The following is a 16,845-nucleotide window of genomic DNA, read 5'->3' on the forward strand; positions in this document are numbered from 1 at the left end:
TCTCCATAGACAAGAAGTAAATCTTCTAAGAGAAAGCTTACACTTATTTGGAAGGCTACCTGGGATATTTCTTTTAAGTTAGTTTGTTCATGTTTTGGAAAGATTGTTCCAATGGCAACACGGGGAATGAAATATAGAAAGGATTCCATGATAAGGCAGAGTTATTAGGTGGCTCTTACAACAGTTCAAATGCAGCATGAGGCGCAACCAGAAAGGACAGAGAGAAAATGCATTTGAAAGAAATGCAAAATGAAGTCCACACAGACCCAGGATGGAAAAAAGGGTATTATGCATGATGGTGGTTTCTAGTTTGAAAGACCGATGAACAAGGACGTCATTAACTATTGCAAAGTGGTATCCGGGACCTGGGTGCACCAGTTTGTTTAACCATTCACCTGCTGAGTGGTGTCCGGGCTGTTTCCAGTTTCTGGCGTTTTATAAATAATGCTGCTATGAACAGATACATATGGCTTTTGTGTGAAGGTTAAGTCTTCATTTCTCTGGGATAACTGCCCATGAATGTGAGTGCTGCGTCCTATGGCAATTGCACATTTAGTTTTTTAAGAAACTGTCAAACTGTTTTCCAGAATGGCTGTGCCATCTTCCATTCCTGCCAGCCAAGTGTGAGTGATTCCGTTTCCCTGCATCCTCACCAGCATTTGGTTTTGTTATTACTTTTTATTTTAGCCATTCTGATAGGTGTATAGTGATGTGGCTTTAGCGTGCATTTTTCTGACGGCTAATGATGTTGAACATCTTTTCACTTGCTTATATGTTATCTGAAATGTCTCTTCATGTCTTTTACTCATTTTCAAAGTAGATGGTTTGGTTTTACTGCTAAATTTTGATAGTTCTTTATGTATTACAGATGTAAGTCCTTTATCAGACATGTGGCTTGCAATTAGTTTCTCCCAGTCTGTAGCTCCTCTTTTCATCTTTATTTTGCATTTTACATTTTAGTCCATGACCCATTTTGAGTTAATTTTTGTATGAGGTATGAGGTTTAGATCAGAGTTCAGGTTTTTTTTCTATGAATAATCAGGTAGACAGCAATTTTTTTTAAGAGACAAGGTCTCACTCTGTCACCCAGGCTGGAATGCAATGACAAGATCATAGCTCACTGCAGCCTTGACTCTTGGGCTCAAGTTATCCTCCTGCCTCAGCCTCCTGGAGTAGCTGGGACCACAGGCAGGTGGCACCATGCCCAGTTAATTTTTTTAGTTTTTGTAGAGATAGGATCTTGTGCCATGTTATCCAGGCTGGTCTGCAACTCCTAGGCTCAAGTCATCATCCCACTTATATGGGGCCAGGCACAGTGGCGCATGCCTGTAATCACAGCACTGTGGGAAGATGAAGCAGGAGAATCACTTGAACCCAGGAATTCCAGACCAGCCTGAGCAACACAGGGAGGCCCTGTCTCTGCAAAAAATTTTAAACATTAGCTAGGCATGGTGTTGCACACCTGTGGTCCCAGCTACTTGGGAGGCTGAGGTGGGAGGATCTCTTGAGCCTATGAGGCTGAGGCTGCAGTGAGCCATGATCGCACCACTACACTCCAGCCTGGGAGACAGTAAGACCCTGTCTCCAAAAAAAAAAAAAAAAAAAATGCTAGCGCATCACCCATATTAAAGATGGGTATTGTCTTTGTGAAACTTTAATTACAATTATATAATGGACATGTAAAATGTCCAGCTTGAAAGTTTGAAAAACATATAACTCTAAGTATCCTTACCTTAAAATTCTGATTCCTACCTAAGATATCACATACTGTTTACATAAGTATCACAATGCCTGGACAACAACTAAAAATGTGTAAGAGGAAGAAAATGAGCATGTATGCCTATTAATTAAGGTATATTTCCCACTTATTACATAAAAAAGTCATCACTGCAAACCCCTGTGACTGTATCTAAAGCAAGCCTAAAGTTTTACTTCTCTATATTATAAAATGCAAAGCTAAAATTCAAATACTACACATTTCCTGAAGCCAAGTTTAGTTAAAATAAATGCCTAGGGTCTATATCAAAAATATGAAAAAGCTAGCTGCTTCATAGCCATTCCAATCTAAGTTCAGCTTTTTCTAATTGACACATAATTGTATACTGTACATATGTAAGGGGTACATACAGTGATGTTATAATACATGTAATGTATGTGATCAGAGTAATTAGCATATCCACCATCTCAAACATTTATCATTTCTTTGTGTTGGTAACGTTCAATACCCTTCCTTCAAGTATCTGGAACTATATATTCTTTTTTTTTTTTTTGAGACAAAGTCACACTCTGTCGCCCAGGCTGGAGTGCAGTGGCGCGATCTCAGCTCACCGCAACCTCTGCTTCCCAGGTTCAAGCGATTCTCCTGCCTCAGCTTCCCTGGTAGCTGGGGTTACAGGCACCCACCACCACGCCCAGCTAATTTTTGTATTTTTAGTAGAGACGGGGTTTCGCCACGTTGGCCAGGCTGGTCTCTAACTCCTGACCTCAGGTGATCCACCCACCTCGGCCTCCCACAGTGCTGGGATTACAGGCATGAGCCACCGTGCCCAGCCTGAAACTATATATATTCTTGTTATCCACATAAGAGAACATGCGGTGTTTAACTTTCTGTCCCTGGCTTATTTCACATAATGTCCTCCAGTTCCACCCACGTTGCTGAGAATAACAGGACTTCATCCTGTGTTACGGCTGAATAGTACTCCACTGTGTATAAAGACCACATTTTCTCTATCCATCATGTGCTGCTGGACACCGAGGCTGATTCCATATCTTGGCTACGGTGAACAGCGCTGCAGGTAACACAGAGGTACAGATGCCCCTCCGACACTGATTTCCTTTTCTCTGGGTATCTACACAGTAGTGGGGCTGCTGGATCACACTGTGGTTTTATTTGTAGTTTTCTCAGGAACCTCCATACTGTTTTCCATAGTGGCTGCACTAGCTTACTCTTATTCTTTTTCTCTGAGACAGTCTCACTGTTGCCCAGGCTGGAGTACAGTGGCGCGATCTCAGCTCGCTCACTGTAGCCTCCACCTCCCAGGTTCCAGAGGTTCTCATACCTCAGCCTCCCAAGTAGCTGGGATTATGGGCGCCCACCACCACACCCAGCAAATTTTTGTATTTTTTAGTAGAGATGCGGTTTTACCACGTTGGCCAGGCTGGTCTTGAACTCCTGACCTCAAATGATCCGCCCACTTCAGCCTCCCAAAAGTGCTGGGATTACAGGCGTGATCCACCGACCCAGCTAATTTTTGTATTTTTAGTAGAGACAGGGTTTCACTATGTTGGCCAGGCTGGTTTCAAACTCCTGACATCCGGTGATCTGCCCGCCTCGGCCTCCCAAAGTGCTGGGATGTCAGTGTGCGCCCCCGCGCCCAGCCAGCTGCTCTAGTTTACATTCCCCCCTACGGTGCGTAAGAGTTCCCTTTTCTCCATATCCTCGCCAGCACTTGTTATTTTTTGTCTTCTCACTGTGGTTTTGATTTGCATTTCTCTGATTATGATACTGAGCATTTTTTTCCACATATTTTTTGGCCATTTGTACATCTTCTTTCAAGAAACGTCTGTTCGGTTGGGTGTGGTGACTCCAACCTGTAAGCCCAGGTACTCAGAACGCTGAGAAAGCAGGACTGCTTGAGCCTAGACCAGCCCAGGCAACAGAGCAAAACCCCATCTAAAAAAAAAAAGAAGAAGAAGAAGGAAAAAGAAATATCTGTGTCTGTTCAGCTTTTTGACCTCCAAAAGTTAAGAGCCCATTTTGGAACCAGACGACCTGCCTGATTCAGAGACAATCTGTGTTTAGTTCTATGCTGCTACTTTCTAATGTGACTTTGGGAAGGTCCCTTAACCACTTTGAGCTCAACTTCCTCAACATTAACCAGGAATAAGTACCACCTGCTTCTGCTGGTTAAGGCTGAGGACTGAAAGGAGAACCCCCACAAAACCACTTCACAAAGCCGCCCTGCGGCAAGCCCCTCAATGGAGAGTAGCTGGTATGATCATTTGAAACTAAGTACAACTTTCTTTCTCACTTTCCCAGGCTCACTCTACATACAATTAGCAAGGAATAGCGGATAAAGGAAACCAAAATAATTACTTAATTTTTAATAAGAATTTTTTTAAAAGTGGGGGTGGTGGAAAAATAGGAGGGAGAGGACGGGAAAGAAAAGCAGCCAGTCACAAGTTCTAGTCCAGGGCTCATCCCCGGCCTCCTCACTTACGCAATCACCAGTCCCCACCTGCTGGGGAGAGGCACTTCCTCGGCTGGCTTCACCCACCTGGAAGGCACTGCCTTAGGTGTTCAGATACCAGGAGCACCTTGAAATGGGCAATGTGCTTTGGGTAGGAGACCTGCAATTTCCCCAAAGAAACCACGGCACAAAAGTGACCCACAAAGGAGGTACCAACTGCTGTAAATACTTGGTGGCAAAAACCGATGTCGTGCCTTCTGTACAGGAGACACATACCCAAATAAAACTTGCCAAAATAGCAGAGAAAACAATACAGCAGACATCCAGTGCCATTCTGTTACAGAAATATTTATATCCCAAAGGCAGGGACCTCTCTGGGACACCGTCTTTATTTCCAAGTTTCATGGAGGATGTCTGATTGCACTCACTTGCGTCTCAAAAAGCTTCCAGCCCCTGCTCTAAACCCTGTGGCTCCTCAGCAAAACCCAAAAACAAGTATCAATTTTCCTTCCAAATGGGAAATTTCCTGACCCAGCGAAACCAGCATCAAGTCCACTTACTATGATAGCTGATTATACGTGAAGCCCTCTAGTCCCAGGATGACTCCCCTCCCCCTCCTGCAGGAGTGGGAAGGGTGGGCATAGCACTGGCCTTCCAGACCACACCTCCAGGCAGTTTGAAACCATGGCTGCTCAGGTGAGCCATGATAAAAATCAAAACCAAGCATCTCTGAAAAGTGTACATGTCAAGAACCAGACCTCGGACCAGACTCAGCAGAAAGGGATGTTGCAAGGTTTGTCCAGAGACCTCCTCTTCATGCCCTCTCTCCCTGGGACCTCCCTCCTTGCACTAGGGGCCCAGGGCCAGTGGACCACTCCCTTTACCTCTAGCCCAGTGCATTTTCAGGAACAGCTCCCGGACTGTACCAGACACTGAATGTATTCACTGAATGCACTATTTCTTGAAATGATCGTAAATCACCTGATTATAACAACTGTTTTAAAAGTGTTCTCTCTCTCTCTCTCAGGAATAGTGCCATGAGTTTGAGCAAGCAGCTTTGCTTCTCTCTACTGCAATTCTATCATTTGCAAAATGTTAACAATTACTGTGTTCACCCATAGCACTGTTGTAAAAAGCCTTAAGACTCATTTCATGTAGCCCGCCTGGCGCACAGACCCTGTCACATGGTAAATGCCCACTGAAGGTGAGTTATCTTTAGCTATCATTACCTAGCACTCCAGCGAACAAAAGGAGTCAATCAGGTCTCACTGTATCGTCATGAAAGGATATCCATGTAGACTGCTGAGTGGGGGTAGGGGGACTCAATGTTTATCAGTACTATTTTGTTTTTTACAAAGTGTACATATATATTTGTAGGTACACTGGAAAAGATCTGGAAGGAAATACACCCAGTGTTATTAGTGACTACCCCAAAGACACATTCATCCAAACACAAAAGAAACACACTCACTTTCTGTCTTCCATATCATTTGAACTATTTTTAATGAGCATCTATTGCTTTTGTAAAGTTTTTGAAAGGAATTTATTGCAATTTTTCTGGAGAAACAAGCAGATGCATGAAGAAGGCCGAAACAGAAGGTAAAATGGAATGAGCCTCAGAATCCAGGCCAGGCTCAGCATGCACATGAACCACGTACCTCTCACTACAACTCAACACCAGCTCTCTCTTCTCTTGGTCCAATGGCCCAAAACTTAGAGATAAAATGTCTATTGTGATCACATCAATCCCACCAAGGAGTTTGGAACCACCCTTCCAAACTCCTCTGGTTCTGTGTACCTGCCCGGGGCTATTAGCTTTCCTCCTGCGTCTTTCACTGCACTGCAATCCCCTAGAGGTGGAAACGCAACCTGACACTTAGTCATCATCCCCACAACACTCAGCACCGCAAAGAGACCAGGGCAGTGATGCCCACTCCGACTGTCATTCTACTTATAAAGCAAAGGACCACGGGATAGATGGGACTTGTCTTTGGTAACTCACCAGCTGTTGCTTGAACCAGAACAAAGCCAGGTCTCCTGATGCCCAGAAAAGAACTAGTGCACAGCCCCCTAGAAACATGGTGGAAATGTTTTGCTTGCTGTGAAAAGATGCACTACTGGAGAAGATGGGTGCAACTTCTCATGGAGCCACTCGGCCCAGATCACCAGGAAACCGGGCTGCCAGAAGAGACACTCGGCCCAGGTCACCAGGAAACAGGGCTGCTGCCGGATGAGACACTCGGCCCAGGTCACCAGGAAACAGGGCTGCCAGATGAGACATTCGGCCCAGGTCACCAGGAAACAGGGCTGTGGATGAGACACTCAGCCCAGGTCACCCGCAAACAGGGCTGCCGGAAGAGACACTCAGCCCAGGTCACCAGGAAACAGGGCTGCCGGATGAGACACTCGGCCCAGGTCACCCGCAAACAGGGCTGCCGGAAGAGACACTCGGCCCAGGTCACCCACAAACAGGGCTGCCGGATGAGACATTCGGCCCAGGTCACCCGCAAACAGGGCTGCCGGAAGAGACACTCGGCCCAGGTCACCAAGAAACAGGGCTGCCAGATGAGACACTCGGCCCAGATCACCCGCAAACAGGGCTGCCGGAAGAGACACTCGGCCCAGGTCACCAGGAAACAGGGCTGCCGGATGAGACACTCGGCCCAGGTCACCCGCAAACAGGGCTGCGGATAAGACACTCGGCCCAGGTCACCAGGAAACAGGGCTGTGGATGAGACACTCAGCCCAGGTCACCAAGAAACAGGGCTGCCAGAAGAGACACTCGGCCCAGGTCACCAGGAAACAGGGCTGTTGGAAGAGACACTCGGCCCAGGTCACCCGCAAACAGGGCTGAGACGCTCGGCCCAGGTCACCAGGAAACAGGGCTGCCGGAAGAGACACTCGGCCCAGGTCACCAGGAAACAGGGCTGCCGGATGAGACACTCGGCCCAGGTCACCAGGAAACAGGGCTGTTGGAAGAGACACTCGGCCCAGGTCACCAGGAAACAGGGCTGCGGATGAGACACTCGGCCCAGGTCACCAGGAAACAGGGCTGCCGGAAGAGACACTCGGCCCAGGTCACCAAGAAACAGGGCTGCCAGATGAGACACTAGGCCCAGATCACTAGAAAAACAGGGCTGCAGATGAGACACTCAGCCCGGCCCCCGGAAAGGGAATCTGACTGAGCAGTGGAGGGAAATTCACACAGATTATCCCGGCCCAACGGCGGCAACAACATCAACAAAACAAAAAATACCTGACTGGAAAGCCGAAGCCTGGCTAGCAAATGCAAAACAGAGCCACAATCCTAGCAGCACGCATCACTGCAACACAGAGCTTCAGTCAGCGTCTGTACACTTCAGGTAGAAATGTAAAATGTCTGTGTTTTTGGAACAAGGGGGCTATTTTTGTGGTGTGTGATGTGTCATTTTATATGGCTGAATGGAACCTGTGTTTTCATTAAACAGGTCCTACACAAACGTTTAGTAGAATCTAAGAAATGACATTTCTGAGCCGATTGAGTTCTTATCAGAACATACGAATATCCAGCCCTAAGAACAATAAACAAGCCATGTGCGAAAGAGCTTTGGGATTTTCTGTTTCACTGAATGAAACCTGCGGATTTTTTGTTTAGTCTTTTATTTTTTTTTAATTTTTAAGTTCTGGGGTACACGTGCAGGATGTGCAGGTTTGTTACATAGGTAAATGTGTGCCATGGTGGTTTGCTGCACCTATCAACCCATCACCTAGGTATTGAGCCCAGCCAGCATGCATTAGCTGTTTTTCCTAACACTCTCCCTCCCCTCGCCCCACCCCCAACAGGCCCCAGAGTGTGTTGTTCCCCTCCCTGTGTCCATGTGTTCTCATTGTTCAGCTCCCACTTATAAGTAAGAACACATGGTGTTTGGTTTTCCGTTTCTGCCTTAGTTTGCTGAGGATAATGGCTTCCAGCTCCATCCATGTCCCTGCAAAGGACATGATCTTGTTCCTTTTGATGGGTGAATAGTATTCCATGGTGTGTATGTACCACATTTTCTTTAGTCTATCATTGATGGGCGTTTGGGTTGATTCCCTGTCTTTGCTACTGTGAACAGTGCTGCAATGAACATACGCGTACATGTATCTTTGTAACATAATGACTTGTATTCCTTTGGATATATACCCGGTAATGGGATTGCTGAGTCAAATGGTATTTCTGGTTCTAGATCTTTGAGGAATCGCCACACTGTCTTCCACAACAGTTGAACTAATTTACATTCCCACCAACAGTATTTGAATTTGGCCATTTTGAATTGAATGGTGTTAATTCCTAGATCATAAATATATTTATATACACACACAATTCATATTCAACCCATATACTCTATCTGGAAAGTTTAACAATATCCAAATTATTGTGCGCTAACTTTTTGGATAAAATTTGTAACTTCTAATGCAAAGGTCCGTATTTGGGGTCATCTTTCTCTGGTGACGACAAAAACTAGTGGCCTTATGGGCAGTTTTTAATGCTGTAACTATAATAAATGAAAGAAGGAAAGATAATTATCAAGGAAGAGAGCTAACTGCTAAACTACACTTGCTTCCCCAATCTTCAAAGTTATACGGAAAATATAATTAACTAAACACAAAAGACATTCACAAGGTCAAAGGGTTACTAACAAAGCTACCAACCTTTCTCTTACCAAAGAAACTGCAATCCCTAAAAGACAAATAGCCTGGGCTTCTTCCTTCGAATCTCTATTTTGAAAGGTCTGAAAAGTCGAAAGACAATTTCGATATGTTTGAGACTAAAAAACAGAAATGTATATTGTTTCATAATCTAAACTGTTTACAGGTCTGTCCCAGACTCTCAAGAAAAAAATTCCCTAAACCTGAAAAATATCTTCTACAGAAAAGGTTTATAGGCTAGGAGAGGGACTAAATAGTACATAATTACAGTATTAACTTGTCAAAAGCTAAATATATAAACTATATATTATATATATTTTTGTAGGTATACCTATATATCCATAAATAAATAAATAAATATGGGTTTTTTTAATACCAGTTTGCCTCCAAAGAAAATGCATTTTCAAATTAGAAGACTAAATTCAGGTCCTGAGTGAACCACACATCCTATGAGACCAGGTAGATGACCTATCTAATCTCTCTCAGCTTCAGTTTCCTACCCTATAAAATGAGAGCAAAACTTTTTTTTTTTTTTTTTTTTGAGATGGAGTCTTGCTCTGTTGCCCAGGCTAGAGTGCAGTGGTGCACTCTTGGCTCACTGCAGCCTCTGCCTCCCAGGTTCTAGTGATTCTCCTGCCTCAGCCTCCTGGGTAGCTGGGATTACAGGCGCCCGCCACCACGCCTGGCTAATTTTTTTATTTTTAGCAGAGACAGGGGTTTCACCACGTTGGCCAGGCTGGTCTCAAACTCCTGACCTCAGGTGATCCGCCTGTCTCCGCCTCTCAAAGCGCTAGGATTACAGGCATGAGCCACCGCACCTGGCCACTTTTTTTTTAACCTATCTATTAGACTGACAAACAAAACATCTGAGAAGAAACTGTTGGCAAGGAAATAGAAATAGGCGCCCTTACACATTGACAGTGAGATAATGGTACAATCCTAACGGAAGGGAATCCAGCAATACCCATCAACATTTAAAATGCGCAGAACCTTGGATCCTACAATTCCATTTCTAGCAATGCATCCTATGCACATATTCACGCAAATATGCAAGAATTACATACAACTCAGCATTGATTAATCCAAACGGTTGGGAACAACCTAAATACTTAGCAATGGGGAACTGGTGGAGAACAGTGTTTATCTTATGCCAACATCTGTGTTTTTAAAAAGAAGACACATAGGCCGGGCGCGGTGGCTCACGCCTGTAATCCCAGCACTTTGGGAGGCTGAGGCAGGCGATCACGAGGCCAACAGATCGAGACCATCCTGGCCAACATGGTGAAACCCCGTCTCTACTAAAAATACAAAAATTATCTGGGCATGGTGGTGCATGCCTGTGGTCCCAGCTACTCGGGAGGCTGAGGCAGCAGAATCGCTTGAACCCAGGAAGCGGAGGTTGCAGTGAGCCAAGATCACGCCAGCCTGGCGACAGAGTGAGACTCCATCTTGGAAAAAAAAGAAAAAAAACTGGCAACAGTGGTCACAGGGCAATGATGGGAGTAGGACTTCCTTTCACTCTCCAGGACCTTTTGAATGTTGCTCCATCGCTCATATTACATATTCAAAATATACGACTATAGTACATATTTTCAATGTAACTATGAAAAAATGGGGGAATAATAATACCTAACACACAGGACTGCTGTGTAATTAAAGGACAAAAAACATTAAGTACTATCAGAGTTCAAAGGAAGAAAAATTAATTCTAGCTTGGATGTCAGAGCAGGGATCATGTAAAGGAAGTGAGTATTTCAAGTCTTGAAGGATGGAGAAGATTTAAGGAGGTAGAAGTGTGGAGATGATGTCCCAGATGGAGATAAGAACATAGGCGAAGAAGATGAAGAGACGAGAAAGTATAAATTCTAAGTGCAGCTCTCAGGCTGGGCTTCAGAACAGGGCTTAGGCAACAAGCTGGAGTGCAAGGTTGATGACAGGAATGGAAACACTGAAACCCAAACTTGCATATCATGCCCAGATCATGAGCCTTGAATGCCAAGCCGGGGAACCTGTCCTTGATCTTAACAATGAAAAATCACTGGGCCGGGTGCGGCGGCTCATGCCTGTAATCCCAGCGCTTTCAGAGGCTGAGGTGAGAGGACTGCTTGAGGCCAGGAGTTTGAAACCACTCTGGACAACACAGCAAGACCCTGTCCTTACAAAAAAATTTAAAAATTAGCTAGGCATGGTAGCACACCTGTAGTCCCAGCTACTCAGGAGCTACTCAGGAGGCTGGGGCAGGAGGATCACTTGAGCCCAGGAATTTAGGGTTACAGTGAGCTATGATGGCACTCCTGCATTCCAGCCTGAGCAACAGAGCAAGGACATGTCTCAAAAATAAAATAAAATGAGCAAAAAATCACTAAGAATTTGTATAGACATAAAGCAGAAAATCATACCATATATGATTTAATCCAGATATATAAGGTAAATGAGAGAGGGAAAAGAGAAATTAGGAAGCTATTATAAGAAGACAAGACTCAATTAAGACATAAGCAAAGGCCCTGGGCTCACAGCACTATCTTTATATAAAGGAATGGACTACCACATTTATTTTCATGGCATCACCAACTTAAATACAGGCTATAGTATTCTGGAACCATCTCTGTATCAGTCAGCTCAGATGGCCATAATACCATAGGCAAATACCATAGGCTGTGTGGCTTAAACGTTAGTTTATTTCCCACAGCTCTGGAGGCTGGAAGTCCAAGATCAAGGTGTCGGCCAACTCAGTTCCAGGACAAGGACCTCTTCCTGGCTTGCAGACAGCCACCTTTCTTCTTTTCCTCACACCAGGGCAGTAGGAGCTCTCTGCTTTCTCCTCTTCTTTTTTATTTGAGATGGAGTCTCGCTCTGTCACCAGGCTGGAGTACAGTGGCACGATCTTGGCTCACTGCAACCTCCGACTCCCTAGTTCAAGCAATTCTCCTGCCTCAGCCTCCCAAGTAGCTGGGATTACAGGCACATGCCACCACGCCCAACTAATTTTTGTATTTTTAGTAGAAACAGGGTTTCAGGATGGTCTCAATCTCCTGACCTTGTGATCTGCCCATCTCGGCCTCCCAAAGTGCTGGGATTACAGGTGTGAGCCACCGCACCCGGCCTGGTTTCTCTTCTTCTAAGGCCACTGATCCTGTCAGACCAGGGCCCACGCTCATGACCTCATCTAACCCTAATCACCTCCCAAAGGTCCCATCCCCTAATACCATCACACTGGGGGTGAGGGCTCCAGTACGAGAATCTGGGGGAGACATAAACATTCAGTTTATAACAATGTCTTTTCAATCCTGTTAAACAAACAACCAAATGAGCAGGAGAAAAGGTACCTTATATGCAAACAAGTCAGTACTTTTTATATTTCTGCTAACACATTAAGGTCAATTTAAAATGTCTGATAGCAAGAGTCAGAAGCAGAGATAAATGAAAGTTAGTGATGCTGCATTTTAGGCCCACATTTAGTTGTCTTTCAATGACATTGTGGCAGAAAGAATACTGCTTTCTATTCCTGGTTTTGCCACCAAAAAAGCTGGAACGTTTCCCTGTAGTTCCGTTTATCTTTAAAATCACTGGGCTGACCTAGCAAACCTCCAAGGTCCCTTCCATTCACAAATTCCACAAATAACTTCCTACCAACAAAGGTTACACAAATAAACTACACTGATGAAGTGGAAAAGCTAACACTAACAAACAATGAGATGCACAAAAGACAAGATGTATAGAGAACTGGATCAACCACATACTGGTGGACGATGAGCCAGCGGTGGATCAAAACAGATTCCCTAACGATGGACAGACAGGCAATGGCGCCTAGGTACTATTGTTGAAGATTTCCTATTTTAAATCTTCAAGATAAATGGCCCAGTTGTTTCTATTCACTCTGATTAAATGTGAACGTGAAAACTGCTTCCAGGGGACACAGACATCTAAAAAATTCCCAGTGTATCCAATTTGTCATTTGATATTTTTACTGACAAGAAAAATGAGGGACTGAATATCCAAACAGACCATGCCTGACCATGTGTATAAAGACAGAACTCAGACCACAACCTGCAGCTGCCCGCCCAGGACACCAACCCCCTATCTACAGTAAACAGCCAGGAGGCCAGCCAGGCTAGCACATCAGACAGGAAGCCAGACTCTTCTCTCTCGACAACCCAGAAAGCTAAATGACAACTCTGTCCCACGTGGCCAGGACTTGACTCAAAACCAACAGCCACCCTAATTTTGGCCCCTGTTTCCCAGTTAGGATCATTCAGAGAAAGCCAAATACGCCCCTAACCAATCACATAGGACACCCCACTTCTGCAGAGCCACCTCCAGCCCCCACAACAGCCTCCACCGGGAGCCGTTCTTTTCCATCCTGAAGCTTCCCCACTCCTCATCTGCCACTCACTTGCATGTGAGTCTCTGCCACATGCAAGTGACGACACCGACTCCCTTGCCACAGCAGCTCTGAGAAAGTCAACTCTGCCTGTCCTCATAGGGTCGGCCTTCCTTTATTTCCCCCAAAGAATAAGTCTTAAATGAGGGGCTTCTCTCTGTATGACCAAGCTATAGAATTCAGAAGCCCAGCGTGGCAGATTCCAAGCCTGGAGAGACCATATACCCCTCAGGTCCTCTTTCCACAAAACGCGGCTTCCTTGAGTTCTTCAGTCACTCCCCACCAACCAGGGAAGGAACCACATGTTATGGAAAGATCAAGGGCCTTGAAGTCAAACTTCTGAGTTCATCCAGTACTTCATCTTTCCACTTTAGCAATTACGTGGCCTTGGCTGGGCATGGTGGCTCACACCTGTAATCCCAGCACTTTGGGAGGCCGAGTCAGGTGGATTACCTGAGGTTGGGAGTTCAAGACCAGCCTGACCAACAAGGAAAAACCCCATTCTTACTAAAAATACAAAATTAGCTAGGCGTGGTGGCTCACGCCTGTAATCCCAGCACTTTGGGTGGCCGAGTCAGGCGGATTACCTGAGGTTGGGAGTTCAAGACCAGCCTGACCAACAAGGAAAACTCCGTCCCTACTAAAAATACAAAATTAGCCAGGCATGGTGGCGCATGCCTGTAATCCCAGCTACTTGGCAGGCTGAGGCAGGAGAATCGCTTGAACCTGGGAAGCAGAGGTTATGGTGAGTGGAGATCGTGCCCATGCACTCCAGCCTAGGCAATAAGAGCGAAACTCTGTCTCAAAAAAAAAAAGAAAGAAAGAAAGAAAGCAATGATGTGAACTTGAACAATTTTCTTAACTTCTCTAAGCCTCTATCTTCATCTTTAATAAAATAATTTTACCTCCAAGATTGCATTAAATGGAATCCCACATGTAAAATAGCTGACAAATATTAGCTGCCCAACAGCTGTGAGTTCCTACTGCCGCCCCACTTTACCCCGAGGGAGAAGCGCAAAATGTCGAGAAAAAGGCTGTTGATCCCTACACCTTAGCATCCTGTGTTCACACAAGGCGCAGTGGTATCCTGACTTACCGGGGTCACCCAAATACAAGATATGTTTTGATTTTTCAACTTAGGTACACATGGCTTCTAATGCTCACAATATATGATCCATAATTAAGAGGAGATTCTCCTACACTACCCCACAGTTCTATTTTAGCAGACTTACATGTGCCATAATATCTAACTCTCTTAAGCCCTCTTCAGCATCAAAAACAAAACTTTAATCCGTAACGCAGTTATCAGCAGTAAAAGTGGAAAAGGTACCTATGAGTCAAAATGAACCTCTGCCCTGCCCCACCCCATCCTACAAAAAGCTGTTCAGGAGTATTAGGGCTGGTTATGAGAATACTGTTTGTATTCCCAGGGACGGACAAATGCCTACCGTGGTTAGAAGACGCACTGCTCAGCCTCCAGGGTAGAAAGTTCCCCACACCCTCTACCCAAGGAGGAGAGAAGCAAATGGGGAGGCCAGGTTCCAGGACGTGGACTATTTAGAGTGTAGTTTCTGCAGTCCAGGACACTGCCATGGGTGAAGCTCTTCCTCCTTTTCCACCCAAGTGGCCAAGGTCCTATGGCTGCTGTAGGGCCTCTTCCCTAGAATGAGTCAGCCCAGCCATTCCCCTTCCCCTTCTTTCTTTTTATTTTTTGATACGGAGTCTCCCTGTGTCGCCCAAGCTGGAGTGCAGCAGCGCACTATTAGCTCACTGCAACCTCCGCCTCCTGGTTCAAGCGATTCTCCCGCCTCAGCCTCCCAAGTACCTGGGATTACAGGCCCCCGCCACCATGCCCAGCTAATTTTTGCATTTTTAGTAGAGAAGGGGTTTCAACTTGTTGGCCAGGCTGGTCTCAAACTCCCGACCTCAGGTGATCCACCTGCCTCGGCCTCCCAAAGTGCTGAGTCAGCTCAGGCATCCTGACCTTTTGTCCTGGCAAAATGACTCCCTTCCACGTCTACCTTCCAAGTAGCTAAATCAGAGATGTGGCCTTGGGGCAGGCTTGAAGAATCCCTGTTTTTGGTCCTCAAGAGGTCCTACCAGGGTTTGGGACAATTCCAAGACTTGTGTTCTTAAAGGGGAAAGAAACCTCACATACACAGCTCTAGCAGAGCTCAGGTGAGCCCATATCAGACGCAAGGCTTGGGAGGCAGCCCTAAGGTTTGGGTGTGCCATCTATGATAACAGCTAAGAGCTCCGAAGCCAGCTGTCCGGGTTCAAACCTCAATTCCAACAGCACTGGCTGTGTGATGTTGGACAACGTCCCCAGCCTCTCTGTGGTTCAGTTTCTTCGCTGTAAAAGGATCACAATAATAGAGCTGCTCTAAAAATTAAGTGAATTAGTGCATATAAGGCATTCAGAACAATGCCCGGCACATGGAGGAGTTCAACGGACACGTATTGAACACAGTAACTTAGCAATTAGTAAATACACTCACACAGGCCAGGCGCGGTGGCTCACGCCTGTAATTCCAAAACTTTGGGAGGCCGAGGCAGGAGGATCACTTGAGCCCAGGAGTTTAAGACCAGTGTGGGCAACACAGCAATATTCCATCTCTAAAAATTTGTTTGTGTAACATATATGTATATATACACTCATATATTCACAGTGTATTTATAATATACAAAATAGCTGGAATACAGACTTAACTATGCAGAATGGTTACTTCTAGAGAAGGGGGGATAAAAATTTCAGCTTTTTACCCCACACATATATTCTTGTATCATCTGAAATATTTAAGCCAATGTGTATGTATAAAGTTGCCCCAAACACATAGCAGAACAATGTAATTTTGGCTCAAAAATCTTCAAATCATGATGGAATTGTTCTGTGAAAGTCAAGTCATAGAGATGAAAAGCCTCCCTCCGGCCTAAATGCTCTTTCGTATGATCTATACTATACAAACCAATGCAGATACCCCAATCATGATAAGAATTTTCAGTCCCTTTACAAACTAGATGGTAGTTAGAGTTACTAGGCAAGAACATGGACCCAGTTCTGCTTCAAAGCCCAGTGTTCCTCACGTAATAGCAATGCATTCTTCAACCGGTGCCTTTGGCTAAATGTAAACTGCCCCAACCCCACTCCAGCACAGCCACCTGAGCTCTCTATTTTACACAACTCAATGAGGCCTGGGAGAAAGCAGGTGCAAATTTCACTTACTCAACAACAACAAATCCCACCTGATTCCTCCGCTGAGCTAGTTCTCAAGTCATCTTTTTCTAAGCTCTTTCATTCAGCTCTACCACACGTACCCAGGCTGGGTAAAATACTTTACTAGGTTTTGTTTTTTTGGTTTTTTTTGAGACAGTCTCTCTCTCTGTCGCCCAGGCTGGAGTGCAGTGACGCCATCTCGGCTCACTGCAACCTCCGCCTCCCGGGTTCAAGCGATTCTCCTGCTTCAGCCTCCCAAGTAGCTGGGACTACAGGCACGCACCACCACACCCAGCTAATTTTTGTGTTTTTAGTAAAGATGGGGTTTCACCATATTGGCCAGGCTGGTCTCAAACTCCTGACCTCATGATTCGCCCACCTTGGCCTCCCAA

General features: G+C 45.4%; 1 protein-coding gene across 4 annotated transcripts in view, besides 3 other annotated features; it reads right to left on the minus strand.

Moving 5' to 3' along the window:
- Positions 1–16,845, minus strand: part of AFAP1 (actin filament associated protein 1) — a 181,149-nt gene that overhangs the window by 153,090 nt on the left and 11,214 nt on the right. The gene's annotated exons all lie outside the window — the stretch shown is intronic.
- Positions 2,834–3,800: an enhancer, noted in NCBI's record as "H3K4me1 hESC enhancer chr4:7916363-7917329 (GRCh37/hg19 assembly coordinates)". NCBI's record gives its function as "activates a minimal SCP1, AML or CMV promoter by ChIP-STARR-seq in naive H9 embryonic stem cells {active_cell/tissue: H9 hESC(naive)}" and the evidence as "EXISTENCE:reporter gene assay evidence [ECO:0000049][PMID:30033119]".
- Positions 6,062–6,872: an enhancer, noted in NCBI's record as "H3K27ac-H3K4me1 hESC enhancer chr4:7919591-7920401 (GRCh37/hg19 assembly coordinates)". NCBI's record gives its function as "activates a minimal SCP1, AML or CMV promoter by ChIP-STARR-seq in primed H9 embryonic stem cells {active_cell/tissue: H9 hESC(primed)}" and the evidence as "EXISTENCE:reporter gene assay evidence [ECO:0000049][PMID:30033119]".
- Positions 6,873–7,682: an enhancer, noted in NCBI's record as "H3K27ac-H3K4me1 hESC enhancer chr4:7920402-7921211 (GRCh37/hg19 assembly coordinates)". NCBI's record gives its function as "activates a minimal SCP1, AML or CMV promoter by ChIP-STARR-seq in primed H9 embryonic stem cells {active_cell/tissue: H9 hESC(primed)}" and the evidence as "EXISTENCE:reporter gene assay evidence [ECO:0000049][PMID:30033119]".

Source organism: Homo sapiens, chromosome 4, assembly GCF_000001405.40.
Source record: "Homo sapiens chromosome 4, GRCh38.p14 Primary Assembly".
NCBI classification, from domain to species: Eukaryota; Metazoa; Chordata; class Mammalia; order Primates; family Hominidae; genus Homo; species Homo sapiens.